At 33.8% G+C, this 20,495-nt stretch overlaps 1 long non-coding RNA gene across 9 annotated transcripts in view; it reads left to right on the forward strand.

Annotated features, from left to right (window-relative positions):
* The first annotated feature begins 3,702 nt into the window (after positions 1–3,702).
* LOC105377254 (uncharacterized) overlaps positions 3,703–20,495 on the forward strand; it is a 33,412-nt gene continuing 16,619 nt past the window's right edge. For 2 of the 9 annotated variants that reach the window (XR_938827.1, XR_938819.2), the window contains exons 1-3: positions 3,703–3,770; positions 4,449–4,578; positions 14,940–15,046. This is a non-coding gene — a long non-coding RNA (uncharacterized LOC105377254). Of the gene's footprint in view, positions 3,771–3,966; positions 4,018–4,088; positions 4,302–4,448; positions 4,579–6,615; positions 6,722–11,421; positions 11,536–14,939; positions 15,047–20,495 lie in introns of those variants that run through there. The other 7 variants (XR_938820.2, XR_938825.2, XR_938821.2 and 4 more) reach the window with 7 other exon arrangements.

Genomic DNA, 20,495 nt, shown 5'->3' on the forward strand with positions numbered 1-20,495 from the left:
AAATTGTCACATATAAGGTTAGTTCTAAGCTCTATCAGTAGAGTCACGTATCAATCAGTTCGTCTTTAAAATGGAATCCCAGTGCAAGGTATCTTGGTAAATAGCTTTCTGTCTGGTAAAAAGAGAGATTAAGTGACTCATTTACGTTTAGAAAATTGACTGATTTTACTCAGACTGAGTAACTGGAAAGAAAAATATGCCATAAGCAGAGATGAAAGCTTATCATTTTGTGCATTTCTTTCCCCCAGAGAACTTGATTGTGTGTAAGAGGCCAGCGTTTCTCTTTGTCTTGCATTCTGTTCTCACACATTATGCCAACCTGTCTTTTGAACATATCATCTCACTGTGCAGCCAAGTTGTAAGACCATCTGGTGCAGTTAGCATTCCAGAAAACTGTGAGATTCTGAGAAGCAGTGATTTTAAAGTGCTTGAATGAGACACTCTCACCTAAGTTAATAACTTGACAATTGTATGTTCATCTAAATGTAGATCATTACATCTAATATTTGACTTCAGGTTCTGTGTCACGTATGTGTGTGTTTTTCTATGTCTTTGTGTTTATTACAATTAACAATTTGAATACTGAGTGTCTAGTCCACAAATTATATATATTATATATATATATAAACATACATTTTGAGAAATCAATTTCTCCTCAAGAAAATGCTCATAATTAAATATAGGAAAAACTACTCTTGATATCCCACCTCCAAATATGTCCTTTATTAAGTCTTCTTAATTTCTGCAACTTATCTTCGTCTAATCTTTAGGGTAAAATCTTAGTCTGATTTCTTGCCAAAACCTTAAGGTCATACTCATTTCCTCTATTTCTTATATATTCTACATTCATTTGTCAGCAAAATCTTTCAGTTCTAATTTTTATACATACTATGTCATCACTTAAACATTCTATTTGATACTTTAGAAAAGAGACCTTACATACATGTGTGTGTGTATATGTATATACGTATGTGTATATATATGTATGTATATATATTTGTATACCCACTAATTCTTAGACTTTGTCTGTTACAACATTCCCCTGTAATTACTCTCTGTAAAGTTTTATTTCTTGCATCACCTGGCCAGTCACATTCCTGCCTCAAATGTTGTTGATTTATCTACCTAAAATAATTCTTTCTTATACCTTCAATCCACAGCTCAAAGAACATACTAGTAAAGGTGTTTTTACATGACTTGTATAAAATAGTAATCCCCATCCTCTGCTTTTCTAAAACTGCTTTGCCTAATTTAATTTTTGCTCATAGCACTTATAATATTATTATTATCCGACATATTACTTACCTAGATTTATTAAATTTAAGACATCATTAAATATAAGACATACCATTAGTTCATATATTACTAAGAGTGACAAAAAGAGCTTACAGTTAAACTATAATGTATAAGTTTGCCATCACTTAAACATTCTATGTTATACTGTTGGAAAATAGGCTCTCTCTCTGTGTGTGTATATATATATGTATATATACAATTATCTATTTATCTTGTGCATATGTTAATAGGAAAATAAACTGGCCAATGAATTCATTAAAATGTTCATATTCAGAGATATATTTTACTGAAATATTTACTGATTCAGCTTCTTTGATTGCTACATATCACTATTCAATGACATATTTTGTGACATTACATTTGGTTATATATGCAGAGGTGAGATTGCTCAATCATATGGTAATTCAATTTTTATTTTTTTGAGGAATCTCCATACGGTTTTCCATAATGGCTGTACCAATTTTCATTTTTGCAAATAGTGTACAAATGTTTTCTTTTCTCCACATTCTCTCAATTATTTGTTAACTTTTTTTATAATTGCTATCCTACCTGGTATAAGGCATTATCATCACTTCTATCCCTTTTATTAAATATATACATTTATTTATGAATCTATCACTTTAGTCACTAAACTACATGAGAACTAGCTTTTCAAAAAGGCATGGTGGTTAAAAGTACAGTCTTCAGAGCTTGACTGCTTGGGGTTCAAATCTCAGCTCCACCATTTACTAGCTATGTGACATTGGTACATTTCCTAAGTTCTTTGTGCCTTCATTTCTCATAGAATTATTGTGAGGATAAAAATAATTAATCCATGCAAATAACTTAGAACAATGCCTGGCACATATTGAGGGGTCATAAGTGCTGTTTATTATTAGTGTATACTGTCTCTGCAACCAAAATATGTGAGACAATTAAGAATCTGATATTACTTACGTTTACATCCCAAGTTGGGTGCAGTGTCATGCATGGCTCAGTGTTTGCTACATGAATAAGGGAATGTCTCAGCACCCCATGCATCTCACAAGCCTCCCATCCTGATTCTAGCACAGCCTTTTCTCCTGTCTCTTTATTTCCATAAGATTATTTGCCAGTGAAAAACAAATGTGCTATCCAATTGGATCCTGTTTTTCATATTTTATTGTACTGCCAATGACCTGAATGCTTAATTTGCAAATAATTTGGAGCACTTGCTTTGCATTAGTCCTCAGCTAGGCACAGGGAAGGGATATGGACATGAATGAGACACCAATGCCTCTCCTACAAGTAATTTGGTGTATAATAATGAAAGTGTATTCTGTCTTTGTGTCAGGCTTTAGGGATACAAAAAATATTTTTTCTTTCACACTTTTTATCAGCTATGAGTACCTCCAAGATGACAGGTGACTTTCTGATTTTCCCTATTAAATCTTTTCTTCATGAATACAGACATAACTCAATCTCAGATCAATTGGAATTATGCTCATCATTTACCTGGCCCATAGTATTAAGGCCAGATGTCTGTGATGATGTCCAGCTTCAAGATTTCTATATTTTTACAATTTTTGCATGATTACTATATGCCCTGGACTATCTTCGGCATATGATATTTTATTTAATTCTATAATCTTATGAGGTCAATATGTCTTCCCCATTTTATAGAGAGGAAACAACATTTCAAAGAAGCAAGTTACCTGCCAAAATTTACAAGTAAAATCTGTTGTTACCATCCAAGAAGGGAAATGCTGATCTTACCTGTTAGTTCTCTGTAAGAATTTAGGAAGTATTTTAACTGAAGTACTAGGGGAATTGAAAATCTTTCCGGAGTGAATAATTGCGTACCTAAGGAATGCTCCATTATAATGTTGAATATATGTGGTTCAAGTGTTCGGGTGTCTTGTTCACTGTCCTAAGAATGGCGTTCGAACATCAAGAAAAGTGTTATTTGTTGAATATTGAATGAATGGATATGTTGAAGAGTATTCAAGATAACCAGCAACTCTGTTTCTTTGTTTGCAAAGGTCAAACTCCCCTTTTTCTCATGTACCATGTTATGGTTTAAATTGAATAACCTCAAAATTCATATGTTGAAATCATAATTCCCAGAACCTCAGAATGTGACTTTATTAAAAGACAGGTTTTTATAGAGGTAATCACTTAAAATGAAATCATTAGATTAGGCCTTAATCCAATATTATTGGAGTCCTTATGAAAAGAGAAAATTTAAAAACAGACACATGAATACCATATGAAGACAATGTGAACAGACACAAGAAGATGGTCATCTATAAGCCAAAGAGAAAGGCCTGGAATAGAGCCTATTTTCAAGCCTTCAGAAGGAACCAGCCTACCAACATCTTGATTTTGGAATTCTAGCCTCCGGAACTGTGAGAGAATAATTTGTTTTGTTTATGTCATCCAGTCTGTGGTACAGCAGCCTTAGAAAGTCAATATAGATACTACATCCTATTGTCACCACCATTGAAATACATTTGGTATCTTGTCACTCCTAATCTCTCTTCCTCTCCCACACTGGTCCAAGCCACCATCATCTCTTTACAAAATTATTTAACTATCTCCTAACTCATCTCCAACTATCTGCCCTTATATTTATATTTTTCACAAAGTAGTCATGTTGTTCCTTTGAATACATATCAGATTCCTGTCCTCACCCATCCCTGGGCTCTGCTCCTCAGACAATGGCCTCCTGGTTCTTCTTTTAATGGGATAGTTCTTGTATCTGTATGTTCCTCTGGCTTTATATTTATTGTTCCCTCTTCCTGGAATGCTCTTTCCAAAGATGCCAGAATAGCTCTTCTCCTAACTTCCTTCAAGTACCTGCTCAAATATTTTAACAGTTGCATCTTTCAGTCAAGTCTCTATTGATCATACTCTAGAAAATGGCCTCTCATCATTCTCCACTTCACTCACCTAAATGTATTTCTTCTCTCCATTAGCACTTATCACTCTCTGACATAGTATATAAAGATTTAAATAGCTCATAAAGAAATAAGCAATAATTTAAGGTGATATATGTTAGTTTATCACATGTGAATTGCAGGCATGATTAAATTTAAAAGGAAAAATGAATATTTATGTGCCATTTCTTCTGCTAAATACTGGGGGTTTCTAGTTTTTACAAAGATTAAATAAAACTCACCTTCTGCCACCAGGAATCTTAAGATCAAGGAGGAGATTGTGGTTATAAATGTCTGATGGCATCTCTACATCTCAGGTGAAGCATGGAGGATTTCACAGATGAAGTGAGTGATACCTGAATAGCTATTGGAGAATATGTAAAAGGTCAGTGTGGATAAAGGAAAAAGGGCATTTTAATTGAAGGATCAACATGTGCAGAATCAAAGAACAGTGAAAGATGATGGCAGGCTGAGTAACTGATTGGCTAAGACAAAAAGAAGAAGCTAGGTGGCTAATATTTTTTGTCTCACTTCTCTGGATTTAAAATATGGAAAGTTTTTTAAAAGTACATTTTATCCCTTTTCAAATAATTATTGCAGAACAGTATAACTATGTAAAAATACTACCAAACAATGTTTTAAGTGGGTTTGATTTTGAAACACTAATTTGAGTATCTTTATAGAATATCTTCACACCTTCCCTTCTTCCTTTGAGCATACCACATACAGTTAATCTAACACATACGGATAATCTCTGAGTTATGATGGTTTCACTTAACAGTTTTTTTATTTTATGATGATGCAAAAGCAATATACATTCAATACACTCCTCTACTTACAATGAGGTTATGTCTAGATAAAACTATCATATTTTAAAATGTAGTATGTTTTAAAAGCAGTCTTGACTTATGATATATTCAACTTGGATAGGTTTATCAGAATGCGACCCCATCATAATTTAAAGAGCATCTATATTTAGTTTTGTTTCATTCTCCATAGGTGGTCATTTTGTAGTAAATATAAAATTATGTTTTAAAAAATTAATGAGCTGAAAAGCCTATTACTATTTGGAAATTAAATATAGCATGCTACTTTACTTTTTTCCCAAGTATAAAGGAATAAACAAGTCCAAATGAACTTTTAGAGTTTTAAACATTTTTGCTAATAATTCATACTTTGAATTCTATCTGTTTAAATCATGTGATCTTTTATTTTATTTCTATAATCTGTTACATTAAATCATTTCATTTTGAGCATAGAATTCTCAAATATGCATAATCTCCTGCAATGCAGCATAAAAAGCTAAGGCTGTAATGCATTTATTTTGAAATTAAGTAACCTAGAAAATATCAAGGTATTCTTGAATAAAAGCTTTACACACAACAATCTTATCAATTCAATAACTTCAAAAATTATTTAATGTTAATGACTTCTTAAGCATTAAATTGTCTAGTATAAATTAAATTGGCTCTTTCTGCATTTTAATCTAAAATAAATGACTAAAATAAGCTAACTCAGATCTGTTCACTATAGCATGTTAACGAAGTGTTCGTTAAATTTTGTTTTTGTTTTGGTTTAAAGGATGGTTTTAATTTACAATCCGTAGTATTACATCTCATCGTATATCTAATTTTGCATGACTATTGATTCATGTATTAGACTCTGAAAATCTTAACCAGAATTTTAATTGGCCTGTTCTGGTAATTTAAGAAAAGAAAATTCACTGAAAGTTTATTTTTTAGTGATTCAGAATTGAAACAATTGCATTTTGTTAAAATCGTATACTGTTCTATCTTTTGTATGACACATGTAAAACACAATGCTTATACTATCTTACTCCATCACATGGAATTTTAAATAGTATTAGTATAATCTGTGTTGTTATGATATTTTTATTTTGTAGCTGGTTTGACTCCAATTGCTTTGGAAATAGCTTTAGGGCATATAAAAAAGTTCAAGTACAAGAGTGATGCCAGCTAAAGTTGGATAGCTCTCAATACTTTGGAAGGTAAATTAAAATACAATCCTAAAGGTAGTGCTTCTGAAAGTCAAAGCGTATACATTATTTTTTGCACAATATTTAGCCAAACACCTCTGTGTTTGGCTAAATATTTTCAGAGTCTAATACATGAATCAATAGTCATGTATTAGAATCAATAGTATTAGAATCAATAGTCATGCAAAATTAGATATATGATGAGATGTAATATTACAGATTGTAAATGAAAACCATCCTTTAAATTTTCTAAAATTTTTCTGTTTTTGCATTAATCTTTTTATTCTGTTTTGACATTTCGTGGTTGTCTTACTCCATTTTTCTGCTTCTACAGGAGAATACCACATTTCCAAGTGTTTGTTATAGCAACAACCCCATTATCAGTACCCATGTTCTATCCTAGTTTGTTTTGTGCTTCCTTGACAGAACAAGTGAAACTAGGTAGCTTATAATGAACAGAAATTTATTTAGCAAGAGCGTGGCACCTGCATCTGATGAGAGTCATCCCATGGCAGAAGAGTAGAAGGCAGAAGTGAGTACACAAGACAGAGAGACAACAGGGGCCAAACTTATCTTTTTCTCAGAACCCACTTCTGGAATAACTAGCCAACTCTCATGATAATGACGTTAATTCAGCCACAGGGGAACAACTCTCATGACTTAGTCACCTTATAAAGGATCCAGCTGTTAAAATGGTTATAATGACAGTTAAATTTCAACATGTGTTTAGGAGGGGACAAACATTCAAACCATAGCGGTGGTTCCGTTACATTTAAGACAAGGCTTCCTGCATACATTTGAAATGCAAATAAAAATTTATTTTAAGAATACACAAAGTACTTTAAAAAACATCTAGAATCCAGTCACCATCTTTGAAAAGACATTATTCAAGGTGGCCATTAGGCAACTCTCTAAAGAGAAGATTTGGGAGCACTTCAATTTCTCTAGAAAAATTTATATCTCCTGCCTGGGGAATGGTAAATTAATGTTTTATTTTGTTTCCCTTTAGAGAGGGAAGCTGGTTTTCTCAACAGTCTGAAATTTAATTTTTCCAGAGAATAAGCTTTGATTCTTACTGAACATTTTCAGCTATTTTTTTTTCTTCATTGTGCTCTGTTTTTGGAAAAATGATATTCTACATATATGACATATATGCATTTTTTGCAGTATAAATTTTAAGACTATTTTTTCACTTTCTCCCTTGCCTGTTATTATGACCTTCTGCTCTGCCAGAGACACCTAATATTTTCTAAGCTATCACCTCTTAAAACTGGCATTATCTATCTCTTACTATTGATATGCTACTTGATCTTTTTGAGACTATTTTGTGACAATGGTTATAACTACAATTAGCTTTGTACATTCCAAATGTGTTGAAATAATTTATCTGCTAATTTTCCCTCTACATTTCTGTTTGCCAGTGTTGGCTTTTATCATTAGTTTTGTTTGAAGTTCTTTTCAGTGTTTCAGAAGAATGTAGGTGGTACAATACACAGATGTGTGTATATAATTATTATTTATAACATGATACAATGGATATTTTATAGCATCTATTGAGTTTCATGGATAACAAATTTAATTATATGGATTTTTATATTATTTTACTTTAATTTGTTATCACAATAGCTAAAGCCTCTAAGGTAATATTAAAGATATTTGAGGTATTCAACATTATTTCTTCTTCAATTTAAACAACTTATTATCATTTAGTTTGATGTTTTCAGAGTTTTCTGATGGTCTTTACTACGCTAAATTATCTTATATAATCATTTGGTTATCAGTGTTTATATATATATTTTACATATTTCTACTATCATTTTAAATTGCTTGTTTTAAAAATATGAACATGGGAGGGCTTTTTGTGCTTGAGTCTTCTCTACAGATCACACTATCATTTGTTTTTAAAAAACTATATTTCAAGAAGATCGCTATTTTCATTATGTCTCAAGATGCTATCTGTCCTGTTTTAACAATAAAATATTTATTTTCTTTTTTATAGCTGTTGAGTGTCCTGAAACAGTTTGTAATTTCTTTTGCCTCTCTGTAATTGTATTGTATCTTCCCATAGCATCTATATAGTAGGACAGCATCAGTCTCTCTGTGTAGACAATCTGCTGTAGTTGAAATAGACTGGACTTTTCCATTTGGTTAACCAATAAAGAAATGAAAAAGGGAGGAAAAAGGACATATTTAAGCCCATTTGCTAAAGCTGTTAGCTCTAGAGGCCTCTCAGGTCTCCAACCTCTTGGAGCATAAGTAGAAGAGAAGCTGTCTCTCTTTTGTAAACAATGAAAAACATATAGCCCCTATTATAGTGGAATAGGAGACTTTTTTTTTAGTCTTCCAAATATTTCAAACAACAAATGGGAATAAGAAGAGACACTTTCAGGTTACATGCTTCAATTTACAGTCTTGGTCATCTCAGGCCTTGAAATCCACCTTCAAATGCCCTAGTCCTCAAGAAATTGCAGAACTTTATTTTTGTTGCTTGTCTATCAGTGTTCACATTTATAGTTCTTTCCTTCTGGAGATTTCCAAAGAACTCAAAATGTCATATGCATACTCACTGTTTCTTCCTCTACGCTACATAGCCTCCATAACTCTATATGTATTTTTCCAAGGGAAATTAAGAGAACAAGACAGCAATGCACATTTGGAAAGCTATCTCTCTAGAATTGTTTTGTAAATTTTAAAACTGCCTTTGTGACCAAATTAAAATATATCTTCTTAAAGAAAACCCTTCTGTTATTAGATTTTTTTTTTAACCTGGACTCAGTGGTATTTCTCATCTTGCTATTTTTCTAAGTCAAGTATCTCTTACTTTGATATTAATAAACCCATTATTCTGTCAATGACACTCTTCCTTTCTTCTTCCCTTGGATAATTCTTGTTTTTTTTTTGTTTGTTTGTTTGTTTTTGTTTTCAGATGAAGTCTCACTCTTGTCGCCCAGGCTGGAGTGCAATGGCTCCATCTCGGTTCACTGCAACCTCTGCCTCCCAGGTTCAAGTGATTCTCCTGCCTCAGCCTCCTAAGTAGCTGGGATTACAGGCACTTGCCACCATGCCACGCTAATTTTTGTATTTTTAGTAGAGACGGGGTTTCACCATGTTGGCCTGTCTGGTCTTGAAATCCTGACCTCAGCTGATCTGCCCGCCTCAGCCTCCCAAAGTGCTGAGATTACATTTGTGAGCCACCACGCCCAGCCCCCCCTTGGGTAATTCTTATAGATCTTTTGGCTTTCACCTCAGTGCTACATCGCTGGGGTACATCTTCTGTCCCCTAAATTTCAGTTAGGTAACTCTTTCAAGAGCTCTCATAGCTTATGCTTCAGTATTTGACTTATCAGAGAATGGATCGCCCTACATTTAAATTCTTGGTTATTTCTCTATATATACCACTGAAGTGTAGGTTTCATAAAGTCAAGAATAATTTCTAAATTATTTATGGTTGCATCCTTATCCTTTTCTATAGCCTCCTTGCATATAATAGGTACTGATAAATTATTTGATGAAAGAAGAAAAGCATGGTCAATTATTGGAATAATGAGGTCTAATGACAAAATTTTTCAGACTCAAAATAGCTTCTAGTAAGATGCTCTAGGAACCTTTTTGGTTTCTTATTTTTGACATTAAAACTGTTACAAAGTATTATTTTATCACGTGAAATAATGTAGTAAAAAATGTATAAAAGCCAACCTAATCATGTCTTTCCATCCTCCACCTCCTTATCTCACTGTGTGTCTCCTTTGCCAATATTATTGAGTCTTATATTTACATCTCCATGTAACAAAATTATTTTGTTTGCTCATTTTACTAAAATATAATCATATTAGCATCAGTTGGCAACTTGCTTTTATCACCTCATCATATATAATCAACGTGGCTACACACCAGTGATTATACATCAAGCCTCTCAGTGGCCTTCCCTCCCCTTAAAGTTCTTTAGAAATATATTTTAGCAGAGATTGCAGCTTATCCACAATTATTCGTTTCCTCTTTCTCTATACAATACCATCTTCAAGATTTAGCTAGTGGTATGGCTTTTTTGAACCCTTTTTCACTTCCCTCACAGTTAACTATGTGTTTGTGACTAGGATTTTACAATTAGATATGGATTATTAGAATGGATATATTACAAACTGTGAATTTTTGCTTTATGTTTAAATAATTGCTTGACTTCCATTTTCTAACTTTGCACCTTGTCATGTGATAGAACATGTGATTTGGGAAGGTGTAACAGTGTGGAAAACAGCCACAACCTAGAGATGACAGAGTAATAAGATGGAAGCTACTAAGAAGTGCACCTAAACCTCTTTGACTTTGTAGACTAGAGCAAGCTCTCTGCCTTTGACCTTGTACTATTACTGGACTGCTAGGAAATAGATGAATAAGCTACACTTTTGTTTGAGCCGCTTGATTTGGGAATCTCATTATTAAGTAAGTGTAGCATATACCTTAAAAATATATTAATTTATACTTAGAAGTAGAGTGCCGTCATCAAGAAAACTAAACAAAATGGCATGATTTTGCATTCAAGCTATAGCAAGCAAAAAACAAACATTCCAGGCTGGAAAGCAGGTGCTTCCCTGTTATTCTATAGTAAATCATTTAGTAATATTCTATAACAACTTGAAAGACATATCATATAGCTATTAAGTCTATAATTCCAAAGCAAATGGTAGAAAGATTCAAATTATTGGTGCGCATATGTGTGTTCTGATGTTTTCATTTTTAGCAAGTACCAGATTAGGGAAGAGAAACAAGCACACAAGAAATAATTGGAAAATAGAGTTCTCCCAACAACAAACATTTTTGCTAGGTCTGTAATGTAAATTAACAGAGTAAGGCAGCCAATGAAATTAGTTTCCAAATTAAGACAAGAAAATATTTTTACTGAGGATCTCCTTAAATAGCTTTCTATTAAATAGTCTTGGTTAGACAGTGGGGCAGCCCAATAGCAAAATTTTGATTTGAGATTAATGCTGTAACATCCAATCTTACAATTTTGATAGCCTTAAGGTTGCCACAATTTAAATGAAGGACAAATGGACAGGTCAGACACAGAGAGCAGTAAATAAATAAGAGTCAGGAGACAAATATACTCAAGAAGGGATCTGTGGGTTTTATTAGTTCCACTTGGTAGTGTATTAAGAAAATAGACTTGAAACTTACTGTTTTATTGAGACAATGTTATTTCAAAGAAAACAACAAAAAAAAATCATTCTGTGAAAGCCTTTTTTCCAGTCCCTAAAGCAACAATTGTTGTCCACCATGTATCAGCAGAAAGCAGTCTGAGGAAACTGGCCAATAAGGAAGCTTACACTCAAACAACAACTTCAGACTCAGGTATTGAGGATAATGAGCAAGCAAGGCTCTCTCAGAGATCAAAGGCAGGAACCATGGAGAAGAAAATATAAAGGAGTTTCCAGTAGAGAATCACAGGCATCCTGATGAGATAAGCAAGGAACCGTCCACATATTTAATATATATATATATACTGTATGATCTAAGTGTAAACTGAATTTATGTTTTAAGAAGTGAAAACAATTACACTGTGAATGTTAAAAAGAATGATTAACATAACTATTAAATATTGCAAACAAAATATTGTAATTTTAGTTAGTTTTATTTATTGAGCTTTAAATTACACATTAACATTACATCTATTTACTTTTCTTCAAATTCCCAAATTGCAACAATGAGAATGCTCCCATAGTGGTGAAATTCATGAAGAAACGTTAATATTTGTGGAATATAGTTTTATTTAACTTTTCCAGAATAGGTTTTCTCAATCTTGATACTATTTACCATTGGAGCTGGAAAATTCTTTGTTGCAGGAGGCTATCCTATGCATTGCACGATACTTAACTCTTGGCTTCTACATACTAAATTCTAAGAACACCTACCTCAGTTGTGACAACCAAACATGCCTCTACACATTGCCAAATATCTCCTGGGGGACAAGATTTCTTCTGTGAAAAGCCACTCTTTTTTTTTTTTTTTTTTTTTTTTTTTTGAGACAGAATTTCATTCTTTTTGCTCAGGCTGGAGTGCAATGGCACAATCTCGGCTCACTGACACTTCTGCCTCCTGGGTTCAAGGGATTCTCCTGCCTCATCCTTCTCTCAGGCTCATGCCACCACGCCCGGCTAATTTTTGTATCTTTAGTAGAGAAGGAGAGTTCATCATGTTGGGCAGGCTGGGCTTGAACTCCTGACCTCCGGTAATCCATCCGCCTTGGCCTCCCAAAGTGCTGGGATTACAGGCGTGAGCCACTGCACCCAGCCAAAGCCACTCTTTTTTAACATTTAACCTTTTCCCAGGAGTTCTTGCAGATAGCCTTCCAGAAGTAAGAATACTGTTCATATTCTTTTCACTAAAGGGTTTTCTAACAATAATCTAGGCACTTTTGTTTTCTTTATCTGCATGATTTAAAAAATAATTTTTTTCTTTTATGACGTTTTTCTTCTCTTCACCATGATTTGAATACATGCCTCTAAAACACAGGAACCAATTAGTAAACATTTCTTTTTACCTGTGGCAGTTCTTACCACAGTATCTTTTCCAATTAAGAAGAAATGGTGAAATAAAGGAAGACAGAAGGTAAAAGAGAGGAAAATAAAAATGCCAGACTTATAGTGGGAGGTCTACCATTTGTGGTGACCTTATTAACTATATAACTGTTCTAGATGTATCTCTGTACTGGCTTGGGTTTTGTTTTTTGCATAAGTAATACAAAAACAGAAAATTGCGTTTGAAAAACAAGTAATTTATACAAATGGCCTACATTTACTATATTAAAGTATCAAATTAAACCTTTCACATTTCACCTTTTTAGTTATTGAAAAAGAGCAAATTGCATGACTCATGAGTTGGGATTCATATGAATTAAACAAAAGCAATTTGATTTTTACCTTCAAATTCTGATTTTGTAAATATATACGTAAAATAATCCCACAAAAGTGACAGATTTTCAAATATCTTGTGGAAGGAAATTTAATCCTAATGAATGAGACTCAGACACATTTCTATTTAATTATAGTTCAGAAATAAATATTGAAATCAGTGGTTATATTTACTTGTTACACATTATGTAAGAAATGAGAAAATGCAGCCATTTTGTTGTTTCTTTACATGTATAGATAACATAAAATAACAGATTGCTCATATTTACAGTATTAGTGACTAAGAAATGATGAAGGCTGAAAAAAAACAAAGAATGCTCTTCCAAAAATATTCATGCAACTGTGTTAATGAATTCTGATTAACAATATTCAAGTAACTTTATGAGCTGTAGAACGACAACTTTGACTTAGTCTGGTTCTTTGAACTGATGTGCATAGTCTTCAGAAATCAATCAATGACACTTCTGACTTTTAACTCTGTTCTTAGATTGTGCCTTACTCAATTTTTTATATCCTCTGTAAAGTCCAAAAGGCTATAAAACATGTAGTAGTTCTTCCTCATTTGATTACTTTTATTCTCTCTACTTCTTAACTGCAGTTAATCTTCCAAGCTTTGACAATAAAAATGGATTCTATGTAAGGATTTATTATCCAAAGTTAGGTAGTCACTGGAGAATGCTATTCTCCCTGGTTTTAAAAATCTATCAGTCAGTGTCATACGCTACCCACCAAACTACTCAGGTGATAGTTTTAAAGGATTTTGGGGGAAGAGATTTTACAAAAATCAATAGCTCTGTTTCAAAAGTGTTGTAAAAGTTTGGAAGATACTGCTCTGTATCTTTATTTTATTAAACATATTTACTTAGCATCTACTATGTGACAGCACTATTCCATTCTGGTAAGTTGTATGAACAGAATAGAGAGACATGAAAGAGAGTGGCAATCATGAAAACATAACTTGTAATGGGCGGTCAGACAATTCATAACAAATGAAACCATAGTAGACTGAAACAGTTTATTGATAGATATCAGGCATATACCAGTTGATAGTAAGCCATTTAAATGGAAAGCAGTTAATGGAAAAAAAATCCAAGGGAGGATTGAGATTGAAACTTTAGAAATAAAAGAAGGGGCTGGGCACAGTGGCTCACACCTGTTATCCCAGCACTTTGGGAGGCCAAGGCGGGCGGATCACGAGGTCAGGAGTTCGAGACCAGCCTCACTAACATGGTGAACTCCGTCTCTACTAAAAATACAAAAAAATAGCCGGGCGTGGCGGTGTGCACCTGTGGTCCCAGCTGCTCAGGAGGGTGAAGCAGAAGAATCGCTTGAACCCAGGAGGCAGAAGTTGCAGTGAGCCGAGATTGTGCCACTGCACTCCAACCTGGGCGACAGAGCAAGACTCTGTCCAAAAATAAAAAGAAATAAAAGAAGGATGAGGTCTTTGGCATGTAGCAGACAGTGAAAGAAACAATTAAGAAAAAAACCTAAAAATCATGAAATATGTTCAATGCTACATAGAAAATTACAATTATTACTCACTGACAAAAAAAGTAAATAAAAGATAAATCTAAATATTGCCAAAACAATATTTTAAGTACTTTTTTATGTAGTGTAACTCTTAGTAATATTTAAAGTGGCTTTTAAAATACCATAAGTTGATTCTGGAGATTATGATGAAGTATCAATAGTGAAAATGTTAGAGATTTATAGCTATGAATTTATATAGTTCAATATTTAAAACTTTTAAATTTATTTTCAACATTTTTGTTTGTTTCTTTGTTGGCTGGATATATTTGCTTTCTTTAATTTTTCCCATATCTGATTCCTCATTATCTTTGAAAGTGAGAAACAGAGCATGAATCTGAAGAAGTCATACAAACGTGAGAAAGAAGTTGAGAAAGAGATTTTCCTGCGTAAGAAAATGCTGTGTTTGAAAAGTCTGTTGAAAGGTCAGTCTGAATATAAATAGAAACTGGCAAGATGGAGTTCAAAGTGAGGCACATCAGTTAAAAGGGAACTATATGACAGAAGGGAAGGACAATGTTAAAAGATAAAGAATTAATAATATAAATTGTCTCCATCTCTTATAAAACTTTAACAAAATGTACATTGATAGCTAAATTTTCTGATATTTTAATGGAATAAATAAGCTGAAATTCTTCTTTTACAAAACCAATTAAAATTCTCGTTGAATATATATTTCGATAATGAATAAATTCCAGCTAATTTTGCAAGAATTCAAAGAAATCATCAGAGAGCAAGAAAGAAGCAAGTGCCAATATATACGGAGAATGGTGGTTCTAGTCTATATTAAAACTTTATCCAAATAACACACCGGAATCTATAAGCAAAGCTTTTGCCAAATGGTGAATTGGTTGAGATGACCATATTCCACATGACACCCACAGATTGGGCATCATCCTAAGAGAAATTGAATAAACTGCATAACAAAACTATAATAAAAATACTGTCCAACAGAGTAGAAAATAACAATATTTGTTTGGATCAAATTTGATCTGAATAAAATGGAGAAAAACATGTCCCTTTGACTTTGTAGCCATCGACTGGGTTTCACTTGGATTTGGGACCTGAGTTCATACTCTTCACATTCTCTGCAAACACACACACATACAACACACACACACACAGCACACACACACACACGTAAATTATATTACTCTATTTTATTTTTATTTTGTTAGTTTTTATTTTAAGCTTAGTGGTACATGTGCAGGTTTGTTAAACAGGTAAATTGTATGTTTTAGGGTTTGGTGTACAGAACATTTCATCATCCAGGTAATTATCATAATATCTGATAGGTAGTTTTTAGATCCTCATCTTTCCACGTGCCTCCCCCATTGAGTAGGCCCTGGCATCTGTTGTTCCTTTCTTTGTGTCAGTGTGTACTCAATATTTAGCTCTCACTTATAAGTGAGAACATACGGTATTTGGTTTTCTGCTACTGTGTCAGTTTGCTTAGGATAATGTCCTCCAGGTTTATCCACGTTGCTGTGATGGACATGATCTTTCTTTTTATGACTGCCTAGTATTCCATGATGTGTACGTACCTCATTTTTTTTTTTTTATCCAGTCTGCTGTCAATGAGCATTTAGGTTGATTCTATGTCTTTGCTGTTCTGAATAGTGCCGTGATGAACATACACATGCATGTGTCTTTATAGTATAACGATTCATTTTCTTTCAGGTATATACCCACTAGTGGGGTTGCTAGGTTGAATGGTAATTTGTTTTAAGGTTTTCTAGAATTCTCCAAACTGCCGTCCAGTGTGGCTGACCTAATTCACACCCCGACTGGAAGTGTATGTGTTGCCTTTTCTCTGCAACCTCACCAGCATTTGCTATTTTTTTGACTTTTTAATAGTACCTATTCTGACCCTTGTGCGATAGTATCTCATTGTGGTTTTTATTTGCATTTCTCTAATGATTATTGGTGTTAAGCATTTTTTTCACATGCTTGTTGTCTGTATGTATGTCTTCTTTTGAAGTGTCTACTCTTTTTTAACTGCTTTAGACATATGGCAGGGACAGAAGCCAATCTCTGCAAGATGAAAATATTCTAAATTGGGAACTTAAATAATGACAATTTCTAATGAAAAATTTGTCAAGAATCACAAAACATGGATGAAGCTGGAAACCATCGTTCTCAGCAAACTATCGCAAGGACAAAAATCCAAACACCGCATGTTCTCACTCATAGGTGAGAACTGAACAATGAGAACACATGGACGCACGAAGGGGAACATCACACACCGGGGCCTGTTGTGGGGTGGGGGGAGCGGGGAGGGACAGCATTAAGAGATATACCTAATGCTAAATGACGAGTTCATGGGTGCAGCACACCAACATGGCACATGTATACATATGTAACAAACCTGCACTTTGTGCACATGTGCCTTAGAACTTAAAGCATAATAAAATAAATAAATAAATAAAAATAAATAAATAATCACAAAACATCATACAAATTTTCTTAACAGTAGACAAAAAATTGTGTAAAATAATATCAGAATTTAAGACTTCAAAAACAAAAATCTTACATTATAGGCTATTATATCACTATAGTTGGTATTTAAAAGAAATGAAAATTTATTTAATTATCATAATACCGTTATAAATACCAGACATATTTGAAAATGATAACAAAGTCCCGAAACTCTCAAATTCAGATGATAACTTGTGAATAATGATAATATTTAAAATTAAAATTATGGGTTTAAGCAGCCAATTTGGCACAGTTGAAGAAGAAAAGTAGTGCAGAAGAAAATAGACCTGAAGAAATTAAACAAAATGCAATGCAGAGAAACAGAGATCAAAATTATGAAGAAAGAGTACAGATATTTGGAAGATATTTGGAGAAGGACCGACCTTAACATAGAAAAACTTCCAGGAGAGAATAATATTATCACAATTTTTTTTAATAAAGAAGAGTTAAGAAACATACTGTTAGATATATAAAGCACAACAAATTCTAAGATAATGAAAAAAATATAAACCTAGATACTATTTTACTTAAAAACTGACAAAGATTACTTTTATCAGTAATACTAGAACCCAGAACCAGTGAAGATTATTTTTGGGAAATATAATGGTCTACCTAAAATTCCATTAAAATGTGTGAAATAATATTTTAAAAATATAAAATGATTACATTTCCAGATTAAAAATTGAGTTTTTCACTAAATGAACTTAAAGGTAAAGAGTTTATAACACAAAGGTTTGAGAGCTACATTTTACTATGCTGTTATATTATATATATATATAATTTTTCACACCTACATGACTTTTGATTTTTCCTGAAGTTAATCATTAACCACATTTTTTCAAAAATGTGATTACCTTTATGCATATTTACTACACTTTCAATTTGTGACTTACTGCTATTTTTTATTGGTACATTCAAATGTCATCAATAATTTTCAGTTTCAGCCCTTAAAGATGAAATTTTAAATATGAAAAGTTAAACTATAAAGGTCCAATTTGAAGTCTGCAATGGACTGAAAGTTGGTATTGCCTTGAAATTCATATGTTGAAATCAAGATAGAACCCTCATGAATGGGATTAGTGCTCTCATAAAAGGGACCCCAGAGGGCTAGCTTGTTCCCTTTCCACCTAGTGAGGATAAAATGAGAAGAGAACAGTTTGCAACACAGAAGAAAGCCCTCACCAGAATTTGACCACGTTGGCCCTCTAATCTTAGACTTTCAGATTCCATTTCTATGAGAAATAAATTTCTTTTTTTTGTAAACTCTTCAATCTATGATATTTTGTAACAGTAAGTCAAACTACTATGACAGAGACTTTTAATCTGTTTCAGTCTCACCTTTATTACCTTTGCCACTCTTTTTCCAAAATCTCCATTGATTCTACACAGATTTCGAGCACAGAAAAACTATAATGTTTTCATCTCTCCCTTTGGATCATTTCTCTGATTTCTGTATCTGTTTATGTCTCTGTTTTTGAAATGTGCATTCTATAGCAATTTTTAGAGCAAAGTATATCTTAATTTGAGTTTTCTAGAAACAGTTATAAGAGGAGTTCTGCTTTTGTTTTTTATTTGAATGAATCCTTGCCATAAAAATAAATGACAGAAGCAGGATAGAACATTAGAAAAAGACTAAGCAAGGGTGGCATTCTAGCAAGTGTCTGATACCTTGGAGCACTCTGGAATTTATATCCCTGAGTTGATCTCACTTTTCTTTCCTTTCTTTTTTCTTTGAGACGGAGTTTCACTCTGTTGCCCAGGCTGAAGTGTAGTGATGCAATCTTGACTCACTTTGACCTCCATCTTCCGGGTTCAAGCAATTCTCCTGCCTCACCCTCCTGAATAGGTGGGACTACAGGCACCTGCCACTATGCCCAGCTAATTTTTGTATTTTTTGTGGGGGAGATGGGGGAGATGGGGGAGACGGGGTTTCACCATGTTGGCCAGGCTAGTCTTGAACTCCTGACCTCAGGTAATCCACCCTCTTCGACCTTCCAAAGTGCTGGGATTACAGGTGTGAGCCACCGTGCATGGCCTGATCCCACTTTTTAATCCAAGGAAACTAACATTTTGTAACTTCATATCAGTTTGTCAAAGTCTGCCTGTTGCCACTTTGGAGGTGTTGTAGCATAATCTCTCAGGAGAGCTGGCCCTTTTAACCCAGAACAATGCTGAGAGGAGTACAGCAAAAGAATCATTAGAAGGTATCACTATTAGCACCTGGTAGGTAGGTACAACTGGCAGTAAAGAAAATCAAGATAAATAGCTGAGTGCATCCACTAAGATTTGTTTAATTGAACTTATTCTTCATATTCATAATCCATCTAGTTGCATATTTTCCAGAATTGTTGTTGGTCAGATTGCTGGGAATGCTTAGAAGAGACAGGATAGCAGATTTAATTAAATATTTCACTGCTGTTGTTGGTTGCAGGCCACTGCTGCAGTTAATTAGGACAACTGACACTTTTCCTCCATCCCAAATTTTAGACTCTTCTCCATCTGGCATAGCAGCACTTCTTGTCTAGTTGTTGACCTTGTAGAGTGAACCAGACCTGCACTATTGAGGGTTCTGAGACCTGGATCCCATGCCCTTATCAGGCTGTGATTGCTGCACTTGTCCATTTTTAGTTGCAACTACACATAAGAGTAAAAAGAGTCATTCCATTTGGTTACTTAGGTCTCAAGCACATTCCTCCTCTTCCCCATTGTTTGTATCGATGACCTTGAATTGCCATCTAAAGATGATAACTCAGCTGTACTTTAAAAGGCTATTTGTTTAAGCCTCTTTGGTAAGAACAGTAGATCTGTGATCATGAGTACACTGCTGAATCACCATTTCTGTAATGCAGCACACTTAATCTGAAGCAAAGTCATGTAGGATTAATGTCAGCAGATCAGACATTCTCTGAACTGTTGAATAGAGTTACTGCCTGTGATATTACAGTCCCAAAGGCAAACATATTCCAACATGGTGTCAATTCTGAGCAGGATAAAATATTTTTCTTTCAACGTTAGTAAGGGTCTTATGTAATCAACTTGTCATCAAGTGGCTGGTCGGCCTCTTTGGTCTCTGTTGGCTACCAGTTGGACATTCAGCAGCGACAATAGCCAGATATAGCTTGGTGAAAGAGAACTCATACTTTTGGACTCAAGGGCAATCATCATTTTTAATAAACTTGTTTTCTATAATAATAATCCTCTTACAAAAGCGCAGTGTTGACTAAAGATACAGCTAGACTAACTTCTCACTGAGTTATTCTGTCAACATAGTTTGATGTTGCCACTGAAGGATTCGGTGTTCTTGGTGGAATATGAAGGTACTCACACTTTATATGTACATCTCTGAGTCCCTCCACATGCCTCTCTCTGAGACTTCCCAATCTCTCATCTTCTAAT

This window comes from Homo sapiens, chromosome 4 (assembly GCF_000001405.40).
Source record: "Homo sapiens chromosome 4, GRCh38.p14 Primary Assembly".
NCBI lineage: Eukaryota > Metazoa > Chordata > Mammalia > Primates > Hominidae > Homo > Homo sapiens.